Consider the following 12,802-nt stretch of genomic DNA (forward strand, 5'->3'; position numbering starts at 1 on the left):
GCAGGTAATTCCTTTATGGAGTTTGAGCTTGCTTCCAACAGAAAAGACTATTTTTTTTTTCCTGCTTCTAGGACGTAGAGAGTAGTCTTCAGCCTGAGACCCATCCCTAGGTAAGTAGCTGAATTGAGGTTTTGTCTTGGCTAAAGTTAACAACCAAATGGTCATAATTTCTCCTTACTGTTAAAGTGTTCAGTAATCATGTAAGTTGTGTGATCATTTGTTTTGTTTAACTGTTTTTCGTTGTTGTTGTTTCTGTTTTTGTTGTTGTTTGGGTCTTTGTCCCATTAGGTTTGACCAACTCTATCAGACTTGATCAAATCTGAAGGAAAGTTCCAAATTATGGGGAAGGCCTATCAAATACTTAAATTCCCATACACACACAAAAAGGTGGTATGGTGGGGGAGAAAAACTGCCAGCAAAAAGAAAAAAGAGGTAAGATTTTTGATTTTGAGTACTACACGGGCTTTATTTACAAGGCCACCTTTTAGCTAGCCAGGCCAATCTGAAAGAGCAATGGTTGTACTTCTGAAATAGCAGCAATTTTAAAAACAAAAGCAAACAAACAAAAAATTAAAAACAAAAAAATAAAGGCAGCAGCAGTGGCTCATGCCTGTAATCCTAGCACTTTGGGAGGCCGAGGCAGACGGATTGCCTGAGCTCAGGAGTTCGCAACCAGCCTGGGCAACATGGTGAAACCCTGCCTCTACTAAAATACAAAAAATTAGCCGGACATGGCGGTGTGCACCTGTAGTCCCAGCTACTCAGGAGGCTGAGGGAGGAAAATTGCTTGAACCCAGGAGGCAGAGGTTGTAGTGAGCTGAGACTGCACCACTGCACTCCAGCCTGGGCAACAGAGCGAGACTCCGTCTCAAAAAAAAAAAAAAAAAGAAAATGAAAATGAAATACAAAAATCAGCTGGGCATGGTGGCACATGCCTGTAATCCTGCCTACTCAAGAAGCTGAGGCAGGAGAATCACTTGAACCCAGGGGCAGAGGTTGCAGTGAGCTGAGATCGTGCCATTGCACTCCAGCCTGGGCAACAGAGCAAGACTCCATCTCAAAAAAAGAAAAAAGAAAAGCAGATGAAATAGCACCAATTTGTTCCAGTTGAAATATGGTAATGAGATTTAAAAACTTCTTTTTTTAAAGGAGCTCATTTGTTAAAGCCAACTTAATTAAAAGCTAACATCCAAGATATGTGTGTATATGGGTGTGTGTGTTTGTATTTAAAAGGTCTTCATTGTTTGTTTGTTTTTTTCTCTCCTAGGACCTTGTCATTCTTTTGAGCAAGGTTTTTCTTCTCAGTTGACTGAATTCTGTTTTCTTCATTTACTTCTGCTGTCTCTCCTTTCTCTTGCACCCTCTGCTGCATGAGGGAACTGAAATAGTTTATAATAGCCTGGGGTTCCTTTAAGAAAGTGGAGAAGGTGCCAAAAGTATAAACAGACAAGTTCATCTCAGCTTTTAAACTGCTTGCTTTTGTATTGTGTTACATGATTTGTTGACTAAAATAGTTATTTGTAACAGAGGCTAGCCTTAGGTTTTTAAGGAAGAGTGTATTCAACACTGAGAAACGTCTTTGTTTAAAAAAAATTATCTTTAAGTGCAGTGTAAAAACATCACTTAGTCTAGCCTCATAATAATTCTCCCTTTTTGGAAACCCAGGATTTCGTATAGGTTCTGCCTAGAGCTCAGAGATCCAGTTAAAAGATAGGTAGTCCCTATGCAAATAAAATTGGTCTCCTTATACAATCCTATGATAGATTTTTATAATTTTGTTTGATTTCACATTTATCTTTAATCTCCCTCTAGCACACCAGACTTTTCCTCTCTGTACCTTATGATGTAAATTCTGTTATTTGATTTTCACCTGAGTTGTTTCCTTAAATAGGCAAATTTAAGGCTATTTAGCTGACAACTGCCTAGGGTTGTGAAACAGGTTATCAAGAACCTGAAAGTCTAAGATAAAAAAAAAAGGTCTTTATGAATCTATAAGATGTACTTCTATCAGCATGCCAATACATCTACGTATTTATGTGTTGTGCACACAATATTTCACTACTGAAAATATATAAAAGAGCTAATTAATTGGCTTAAAAAAACAAAAGTGCTTACATCAGATACTAAAGAAAACAAGACTAGTCAAATGCTTTTTCAGGTTCACAGGACTTAAGTAAAATCTTTAATAAATAAGCTGGATTTAAAATTATTGGTAAAATAATATTAGAAATGTCTTAAGAATTTGCCAGCAATACATTTTCGTTTGCATTTACTTATCAAGCAATTTTATACTTATCCCAGCCAGATACTATAAGGTGTCAAAATTTGGTATAGAGGTTACAAAACTAAAAAACCAGCCCAAGACAGAATTATCTTTGCTGGTGTAATCTTTAATAAATAATACATTGATATTGGTTTAATAAAAAAGCTACATCTTGAATTTAGTAAGATTATCATACTTTTTTTTTTTTTTTTGAGACAGAGTTTCACTCTTGTTGCCCAGGCTGGAGTGCAATGGCATGATCTTGGCTCACCACAACCTCCACCTCCCATGTTCAAGTGATTCTCCTGCCTCAGCCTCCCAAGTAGCTGGTATTACAGGCATGCGCCACCATGCCTGGCTAATTTTGTAGTTTTAGTAGAGATGGGGTTTCTCCATGTTAGTCAGGCTGGTCTCAAACTCCCGACCTCAGGTGATCCACCTGCCTCGGCCTCCGAAAGTGCTGGGATTACAGGCCGCCCATGCCCGGCCAGATTAACATAACTTCTAATCCTGTGGTGTTAGGCAGTCTAGTCCACAGACAGTAAGAGGTTTCCTTTGGGAAGACGGTTACCATTTTTATTTCAAAGCTAAACTATAAACTAAGTTCCTAGCAAAGTTAGTTCGGCTCATACCCAGGAATGAACAAGGACAGCTTGGAGTTTAGAAGCAAGATGGAGTCACTTAGGGCAAATCTTTTTCACTGTCTCAGTTATAATTTTGCAATGGCGGTTTCATAACTTTAAATGATGACTATCGCAGTTTTCATAAATAATCTAGGTAAATGATTAAAATAAAATAATTAGATAAATGTAATAGGATATAGATAAACTAGTCATAATTTAGAATCTAAAGTTATATTAAATTATAGATATTTCATTATTTTGGTATTTTCCAATAATAATATATTGTAGGAAAACATTCTTTCTAAAAAAAAGTGTCCCTTTTAAAAAGGTGAACAATTTTTGTCTAATTCAAAGCTTACTTAAAGGTCATGTATAAAACAAGGTAAAAGGAACTGGGAAATAAGAGACGTGTAAACAAAATTATAGAAAGAAAGAGGTATTTTTTGGTAAGAAAGCTTAAAGAGAAATAATTTTTAAAATTGTTGTTTTTTTTTTTGAGATGAAGTCTCGCTCTGTCTCCCAGGCTAGAGTGAAGTGGCACAATCTTGGCTTGCTCCAACCTTCTTCTCGCAGGGTTCAAGTGATTCTCCTGCCTCAGCCTCCTGAGTAGCTGGAATTATAGGTGCCTGCCACCATGCCCGGCTAATTTTTGTATTTAAAGTAGAGATGGGGTTTTGCCATGTTGGCCAGGCTGGTCTCGAACTCCTGACCTGAGGTGACCTACTAGCCTTGACCTCCCAAAGTGCTGGGATTACAGGCATGAGCCACTATGCCCAAATGAGAAATAATTTTGTATGAAAAATAATCTTGTATGGTAAATTTAGACCAAGAATAAAATGAGTGGTTGTATAAGAAAGAAAGATGTTCAGAACAAACCAAAAAGTCCAAGCATGTCACGAATGGTCTGTGTAAGTCATAATAAAAGGATTTATCTAAAAAAACCAAAAACTTTTATATGATCAAGTCGTCTATAATTAAAGGAAAATTATAATGGGTTTTTCTAGACATTGGGTGTGATGTAATGAAACGTACACACTAAAGAATTCATTACAACAATAAAATTTCCTTAAGGGATTGATTACCTCTTAATAAATTATAAAGATTTTAATTTTTTTAACCCAAGGTTCAACTTTTATTGCATCACGCTGTTTTCAGTTTTCTTTCCCCTTTTAAAAGGTGCAAAATTATAACACTCTCCTTCAACTCATTTTCAGCTCATATATGTTTTTTTTTCCCCTCAAGTTCTGTTTGTTGTGGCCTGATGCTAACAATATTTTCTTAAAGATCTAAAGGAAATCTTTTCTTCCAACATAATTTTCTGTACACTGCAGAAGATCTTTTCTTTTGCCTTTTGGTAACTAGCCTAACAAATTTTACATTTTATCAAAATAATTCCTATGCTATTACTATTAAGTTTTGGTTTGCTTAGGAAAAAACTGAGATTAAAATTTTTCAATTGATTATTACATCCATAAATTAACCATTAATGTCAAAGACACATTGATGCAAGACCAGAATATGTGCCACTGTGTCAGATTAACAAGGTTTTCTTGAAGCATTAACTCCATAGTAAAGGTTATAAAAGGCTTGTTGAAGTTATATCTTACAATCAAGATTAAAATGTTATAGAGTGTTTATACAATATTGAAAAACAAATTTAACTGGCTTCGTGCTGTTCTTTTTTTATTTTTTGAGACAAAGTCTGTCACCCAGGCTGGAGCACAGTGGTGTGATCTTAGCTCACTGCAACCTTTGCCTCCTGGGTTTAAGTGATTCTCCTGCCACAGCCTCCCATGTAGCTGGGATTACAGGAACCCACCACCATGCGTGGCTAATTCTGTTTCTTTGTTTGTTTGTTTTGTTATTTTGAGACAGAGTCTGGCTCTGTCACCAGGCTGGAGTGCAATGGCCCGATCTCGGCTCACTGCAACCTCCGCCTCCCAGGTTCAAGTGATTCTCCTGCCTCAGCCTCCCAAGTAGCTGGGACTACAGGCACATGCCAACAGGCCCAGCTAATTTTTTGTATTTTTTAGTAGAGACGGGGTTTCACCATGTTAGCCAGGATGGTCTCGATCTGACCTTGTGATCCACCTGCCTCAGCCTCCCAAAGTGCTGGGATTAAATTTTTTGTATTTTTAGTAGAGATGGGGTTTCAGTATATGGGTCAGGCTGGTCTCGAATTCCTGACCTCCAGTAATCCACCCCTCCCCTTGGCCTCCCAAAGTGCTGGGATTACAAGTGTGAGCCACTGCACCCAGCCTGTGCTGTTTTTGTCAGGGCTTATTGTTTGGAAAACTAAATATCCTCTCTCAAAGAATGAAGGTTTTCACCTTTTCTTTGAAATCCCTGAATTATCACTTTGGTTAAATGAATAACTTATTTAACAATGACCTGTGATCCTATTTTGTGATATCAAGTGTTTTAAACCTTTGATATTTGACAAACTTTCCAAAATCAAATTATAAATTATGTCTTTTTCTGATTTAATTAATCCTTTAAGGTATTATTAATAGGTTCCCTGAAGTCCAAAAATGACATATTTGGCTTATCTGGTATAAAAATTATACAGGAATCATTGTCACATATAATATAGTGTTTGGTTTTCTTTGGGCTACGTTTATATAAATATGTTATTGGTATGTGTTCCAAAATTATGGGAAACTCCTATAATTATAACTTAGTGTACATAGTGAGAAACATCTAGTGATATAACTTAAGTGTACCTTATCAGTAATAATTATAATTCCTATGTTAAATTATTGTGTGCCACAGAGGTAACAAATGTCCTTGTCAATTGTGTCTTTGACTATGGCTGCTCTAAAACTGTTTGTCATCCACAGACAATTGTTGTCTTGTTTTGGCCCTCTTTAGAAGGTGGTTTTATAATCAGCTATAGAACTCTTAACAGGTGTTCTTAAATGCAGGTTTCTGATAACTTTGGAAGTTGTGACACTAGAATAGAGGAAAAAAGAAACTTTCAGGACTCTCATGGAGAGCTGAAATGTTCATGAGTATCAAGCAGAACAGGAGTTAATTGCATAAACTGAACTGATAGAAGACTAAAGTAATCTTTTTGACTTTTGCTTTAAATGTTGCTGATTCTTTGTTTTTTTTTCAGAGTCAAGGAAACTTTTCTTTTGAGCTATTGACAGCTTTTAACAATTTAGTATACTCCTATGACTATAATTTGGAGCATATTTGTTTCTCTCTACCTGATTTCTCCAGAACTTGGGAATTATTTTTGAATATGCTTAACTGATGGCAATATCGTAATTTGCATAAGTATAGTAAGAATCTGTTTTCATTTTGCAACAGGACACAAACAGAGAAACTGGTTATTTTACCAAGGCTCTGACTGGAATGGTGTGCTTTCCTTTAGGGAATCAAACTTGACTTATGGAGCCAATAAAGCCCCTTGGGGAAACTGGCCTCATACCTTCCCTGTACAGGGTTCCTGACCTGTGGTAAGTAAAGAATGTCACTTTCTGACAGGCCCAGGAGCCCCAAGTTTACTTTGGAACCTCAAGAGCAGAGGATCATCCAACTTATAGGTATTTAATGGCACAAATCCATGGCTGGGCTTGGCTTTAAATAAAGGTCTTAGCCGGGTGCAGTAACTCATGCCTGTAATCCCAGCACTTTGGGAGGCTGAGGTGGGTGGATTATTTGAGGTCAGGAGTTCGAGACCAGCCTGGCCAACATGGTGAAATCCTGACTCTACTAAAAACACAAAAATTAGCCGGGCGTTGTGGCGTGCACCTATAATCCCAGCTACTTGGGAGGCTGAGGCAGGAGAATAGCTTGAACCTGGAAGGCAGAAGTTGCAGTGACCCAAGATTGTGCCACCGAACTCTAGCTTGGGGGACAGAGTGAGACTCCATCTCAAAAAAGAAATTATAAAAAATTTAAAAAGATCTTATCTGAGATTCCTTCTATAGAACAAAGTTCCATCAAAGCCAATTTAAAAGTGTATTTGAAAAATAATTATTCTTGCTGCATTCTATACAAATAATTAGGCCAAGTATAATAAAGCACATCAGTCCTACCATGACTTTAGTAAAAATGGGAAACTGGAGAAAGAAAAATTATGTTTTGAAAACTGTAGTATACCTGTTGTTAGATTCTAGACTTGCCTAATGTTTTTCCATTTTCATTATTTTTGTACCATTTGGACAGAATTCTAATTTTTTTTTAGCTACACGTCTTCAAAATAAGGTTTTCAATTTTTCTTCTTTTTTTCCCCATTTTTTCTAGTTTGAAGTCATGGAAAACTAAGCTGTGCTTTCTGATATTTTTGAGACAGAGTCATGCTCTGTCACCCAGGCTGGAGTGCAGTAGCACCATCCCAGCTCACTGCAACCTTTGCCTCCTGGGTTAAAGCAATTTTCCTGTCTTAGCCTCCTGAGCAGCTGGAATTACAGGCACCTGCCACCACGCCCAGCTAATTTTTGTATTTTAGTAGAGACCAAGTTTCACCATGTTGGCCAGGCTGGTCTCAAACTCCTGACCTCAAGTGATCCACCCACCTCGGCCTCCCCAAACGCTGGGATTATAAGGGTGAGCCGCCATGTCCAGAATAAGTTGTGCTTTCTTTTTTATTTATTTATTTTTATTTTTTTCAGACAGAGTCTTGCTCTGTCATGCAGACTGGAGTGCAGTGGGGCAATCTCAGCTCACTGCAACCTCCGCCTCCTAGATTGAAGCAATTCTCCTGCCTCAGCCTCCCGAGTATCTGGGATTACAGGTGCGCACCACCATGCCCGGCTAGCTGTGCTTTCTTAAAGCACTGCAAACTGAAGCCAGACAACTTAAACTTCAGAAGAAAATAACAGCAACCTATTTACATACATAAGCCACTTTCATACTTGCCTACTGATGTATGGACTTCAGAGTAATCCAGCCTATAATGATTTTTCAGGATTGTTCTTTTGTTTGTTGTTTTTCTCCCTTGCTCCCCGTTTTCTTTTCATAGGACATGAGACTTCACAACCCTCTAAAAATGAACTTTCCTAATAACTCAGGACCTACTTGTTTAGGAATAAACCATCCTAGCCATGACAGATCAGATGAAACCTGAGACCACAAACTCATTTTCTTCTAAAATGCTTTTTCCAAAAGATTTTTAAAAAGAAAAGTGGGAAATGTGAAAGGAAAATATCTTATGCCCCCAAAAATCAATACGCTAAAGGGAAAAGTCAAGCTGGAAACTGCTTAGGGCAAATCTGCCTCCCATTCTATTCAAAGTCACCCCTCTGCTCACTGAGATAAAAACATATCTGACTGCCTCTTTTGAGGAGGCTAATCAGAAACTTAAAACAATGCAACCATTTTTTTCTTACGTACCTATGACCTGGAAGCCCCCTTCCTGCTTCAAGATGTCATGCCTTTCCAGACTGAACCAACGTTCTTCTTACATATATTGATTGATGTCTCATGACTTCCTAAAATGTATAAAACCAAATTGTGCTGTGACCACCTCAGGTAAATGTCATCAGGACCTTCTGAGGCTGTGTCATAGGCACGCATCCTCAACCTTGGCGAAATAAACTTTCTAAATTAACTGAGACATGTCTCAGATTTTTGGAGTACACATCTGATAAAACACAATGAGAAAAATATGGCATCACTTCTGTGATATTCCTGCTAAAGATGCATACCCTGTAAGGCTGCATTGAGCCGCGATCACGCCCCTGTACTCCAGCCTGGGCAACACAGTGAGACTCTGTCTCAAAAAAAGAAAAAAAAAAAGACACTTAACCTGAAACTAGTATCTAGGAAACATTAGGCAAACCCAAATTCAAGGAGATTTTACAAAATAACTGATCTGTAACCTCAAAATTGTCCAGGTGATGAAAGTCAAGGAAGAGCTGAGGAACTTTTCTAGATTGAAGGAAACTCATGAGACATGACACTAAATGCAATGTGCAATTCTGAATTGGATCCTTTTGCTAAGAAGTACAATGTTGCGACAACTGGCAAAACTTGAATGGGATCTGAGGAGTAGATGGTAGTAACAATGTTAATTTCCTGATTTTGATAGTCTTATTATGGCTATGTAGGACACAGATGTTTAAGAAAATACACCCTAAAATGTTCTGAGTAATTGGGCATAATATTAACAATTAATTTTCAAATGGTTCAGGAAAAAAAAATTTTGTACTATACTTGCAACTTTTCTGAAAGCCTGAGATTATTTCAAAATAAAATACTTTTAAAATGCAATTACTTAAATTCTTCCCATGTTTCTTCCCACGTAAACGTCAAGCCAAAGGACATGGCTTCAGAAGCTCTTTTTTTTTTTTTTTGAGATGGAGTCTCACCATGTTGCCCAGGCTGGAGTTTAGTGGTATAATCTTGGCTCGCTGCAACCTCCACCTCCCGGGTTCAAGCTATTCTCTTGCCTCAGCCTCCTGAGTAGCTGGGACTACAGGCATGTGCCAACACGCCTGGCTAATTTTTGTATTTTTAGTAGAGACAGGGTTTCACCATGTTGGCCAGGCTGGTCTCAAACTCCTGACCTCAGGTGATCCACCCACCTCGGCCTCCCAAAGTGCTGGGATTACAGGCGTGAGCCACCGCGCCTGGTGCAGAAGCTCTTAAATGCTTTATCTCCTCGCAGATGTTAACGAAATGCAATTCTGAATTTTGGCAGGGGTTTTTTTTTTTCTTCATTTCGCTTTGTCTTGTCTGAAGCTTCAGGGCAAAATCCATGATTATTGAACTATCGTCTATTTTACCTCCATTTTTATATATTAAACCTTATTAAGCACTACTATGTGCTGGGCCATGTACTAAATCTTTTTCAGGCATTATTTCTTTTAACCTTGATCTCTTGCTACTTCCCCCTTCATACTCCAGCCTAGAGCACGGGGACTCCTCTAGGCTTTCTCTGTTTGCAAAATGCAGTGCCTCTGCCTCTCTTCTTTCTCCCTCTTCTCTTTACCCCTTAACTCCTATTTATTCTTCAGGTTTCAGCTAGGATGACACTTCCTCCAAGGAGCCTTTCCTTAAGTCTGAGTGGGGGCCCCTCCCTGTGCCCAGGCCTTTCTTCTTTTACCATTGTACTTTTACACTATATTTTAATTTTGTTTTCTCTTCTGTTCCCTCTTCTATGCTATTCAAGAGCAAGGACTGTTTTTACTGCTGTTTTACCAAAGCTAACAGAGGTCTTCGTCCATGATGTCACTCTCAAGAGACTTTAATTGGTGATTTCTTGTTTCTGAAAATAGGAAGGTTGATTTGATGCAAAATATCCAATCAGTAGTAATTAATTATGTTAATTTTGCCCTTGTTCTTTAATTTAAAAAATGTCCAAAGTCCTTTTAATGACAATATGTATTACCACGATACTAAAATTTCTTACCAAAGTCCAAAACACTGGTTTTCTACATGACTCTTCCGGGTAAAAGTGAATTATCAGCAGAGCAGTAAATAAAATACATTCACATTAATCCTCAAGTGACTTCAAGTCTAGGGGAGCACTGAAAGGGTTACATTCATAGGATTGATTTAAAGGCAACTTCTTTAAACAGCAGTGACTTAAAAGTAATTCTAATTGCCGGGCGCGGTGGCTCACGCCTGTAATCCCAGCACTTTGGGAGGCCGAGGCGGGCAGATCACAAGGTCAGGAGATCAAGATCATCCTGGCTAACACAGTGAAACGCCATCTCTGCTAAAAAATACAAAAAAAAAAAAAAAAAAAAAAAAAAAAAAAAAAAAAAAGCCAGGTGTGGTGGCAGGCGCCTGTAGTCCCAGCTACTCGGGAGGCTGAGGCAGGAGAATGGCGTGAACCCGGGAGCAGAAGTTGCAGTGAGCTGAGATCACGCCATTACACTCCAGTCTGGGAGACAGAGCGAGACTCTGTCTTAAAAAAATAATAATAATAAATAATTCTAATTTAAATTCTTTCTGGCCAGGCAATCAACACAGGAAAGAGAAAAGGTCTTGATTTTCTACTAGTTTGTGTCTTGTGAAAGAATTTTTTTTTTTTTTAGACGAAGTCTCACTCTGTTGCTCAAACTGGAGTGCAGTGGCACTGTCTTGGCTCACTGCAACCTCCACCTCCCGGGTTCAAGGGATTCTCTTGCCTCAGCCTCCCGAGTAGCTGGGACTACATGTGCGCACCACCATGCCCAGCTAATTTTTGTATTTCTAGTAGAGACGGGGTTTCACTATGTTGGCCAGGCTGGTCTTGAACTCCTGACCTCGTTATCCGCCTGCCTCGGACTCCCAAAGTGCTGCACCTACAATGGGCCACCCCAGGGGACAAGCTGTTGGGACTGGAATGCGGTGGCAAGAGCCGTGCACTCTGGCTGCTGAAACCTGCTGTTTCCACTGTAAGCTACCACTTAGTGAATATTTTCTACGTATTGGGAACTGTACTAAGTGGCTTTCATGTTTTGTTTTTTGTTTGTTTGACTGGTTTGTTGTTGTTGTTGTTGTTGTTGTTGTTGTTTTTGAGACGGAGTTTCGCTCTTGTTGCCCAGGCTGGAGTACAATGGCGCGATCTAGGCTCACCACAACCTCTGCCTCCCGGGTTCAAGCGATTCTCCTGCATCATCCTCCCGAGTAGCTGGGATGACAGGCATGCGCCACCATGCCCGGCTAATTTTGTATTTTTAGTAGAGACGGGGGTTTCTCATGTTGGTCAGGCTAGTCTCGAACTCCCGACCTCCGGTGATCCGCCCGCCTCGGCCTCCCAAAGTGCTGGGATTATAGGCGTGAGCCACCGCGCCCAGCCGCGCCCGGTTTTTGTTGTTGTTTTTGTTTCTAAAAACAGCGTCTCGCTCTGTGGCCCAGGCAGGGGTGCAGTGGCGCGATCTCAGCTCACTGCAGCCTGGAACTCCTGGGGTCAAGCGGTCTTCCCACCTAAGCCTCTCCGTGCTGGGACTCCGGACGCGCTCCACCTCACGCAGCCGTATTCCTGCTTTCAAAGCAGATGGAAGAGGTGCGCCAGGACCCCCAGTTCTTGGAAACAGACCTCTCCAGTTACCTGTTGTTTCCTCTTCACGAAGAGTGCATGTAACAGTAAGACACAACTGTTTCATATTATACGTAAAGAGTTCATGCCAAAGGTTATAGACAGTCACATGCTAAAACTAGGCTACACTTTGAAGAATCACCGCTCAAGTTCTGGAAAAAAGAGGTGACTGTTGAACAACACTGTGAGGGTAATCGATGCCACTGAAATATACACTTAAATTGATTAAAGTGGCGAATTTTATCTGGCATATATTACCACCATTTTTAGAAATGTTTTTTGGCAGGTGAAGAAAAGCAAGGCTCCAGGAGGCCCTGCGCACCGGTCTACGCCCACTAACTCACCCGCCCCCTGCGCCGCGTCTCCCCTCTCAATTTCAGTCGCCCATTGATAAAAACGAGGTGGCTATGTGAGATGGCCTTCAGCGGTCTTTCCAGCTCCACGGTTTTACAGTGTGGAGCGGGGAAAGAAAAACTCTAAGGTCCTCGCTGCAAAGCAACCATCAGAGCTCCGCCGCGCCGTGCCGCTCCTCTCCGCCCCGTGGTCCGGGTGTCACCGCCCGCAGGGGCGCAAGGGCCGCAGCACGCGTGCGCAGTGGGCACCAAGAGCGCTGCGTCGACCGCGCCGCGCCGGCCCTCCGCCGCCGCGCCCGCCTACAAGGCCCTGAGGGAGACTGCGGAGGGTGAGTGCGCGGTGGGCTCGGCTGACCGTTGGCCCTGCGGCCGGCGCCCTAGGCTACCTCCCTTCGCCTCCCCGCGCCTCCCCGCGCCTCCCCGCCTCCCCGCCTCCCCGCCTCCTCGGCTCTGGTTCCAACACCCCAGCGCCAAGCCGGGGAGGCGGGGAGGACTTCTTAAGTGTGCCGCTCGGGAGCCTCCCGCTCGTCCCGCCCCGAGGGGCGTGAGGAGGGGAGGGGCTGCGGACTTCGGACTCGGGCCT

General features: G+C 41.0%; 2 annotated features.

Annotated features, from left to right (window-relative positions):
• Positions 3,739-3,939: a silencer, noted in NCBI's record as "peak1361 fragment used in MPRA reporter construct". NCBI's record gives its function as "represses an SCP1 promoter by STARR-seq MPRAs in K562 erythroleukemia cells {active_cell/tissue: K562}" and the evidence as "EXISTENCE:reporter gene assay evidence [ECO:0000049][PMID:32103011]".
• Positions 12,168-12,797: a silencer, noted in NCBI's record as "silent region_3800". NCBI's record gives its function as "represses an Ori minimal core promoter by ATAC-STARR-seq in GM12878 lymphoblastoid cells {active_cell/tissue: GM12878}" and the evidence as "EXISTENCE:reporter gene assay evidence [ECO:0000049][PMID:35858748]".

The sequence above is a fragment of the Homo sapiens genome, chromosome 11, assembly GCF_000001405.40.
Source record: "Homo sapiens chromosome 11, GRCh38.p14 Primary Assembly".
In the NCBI taxonomy this organism is placed as follows: Eukaryota; Metazoa; Chordata; class Mammalia; order Primates; family Hominidae; genus Homo; species Homo sapiens.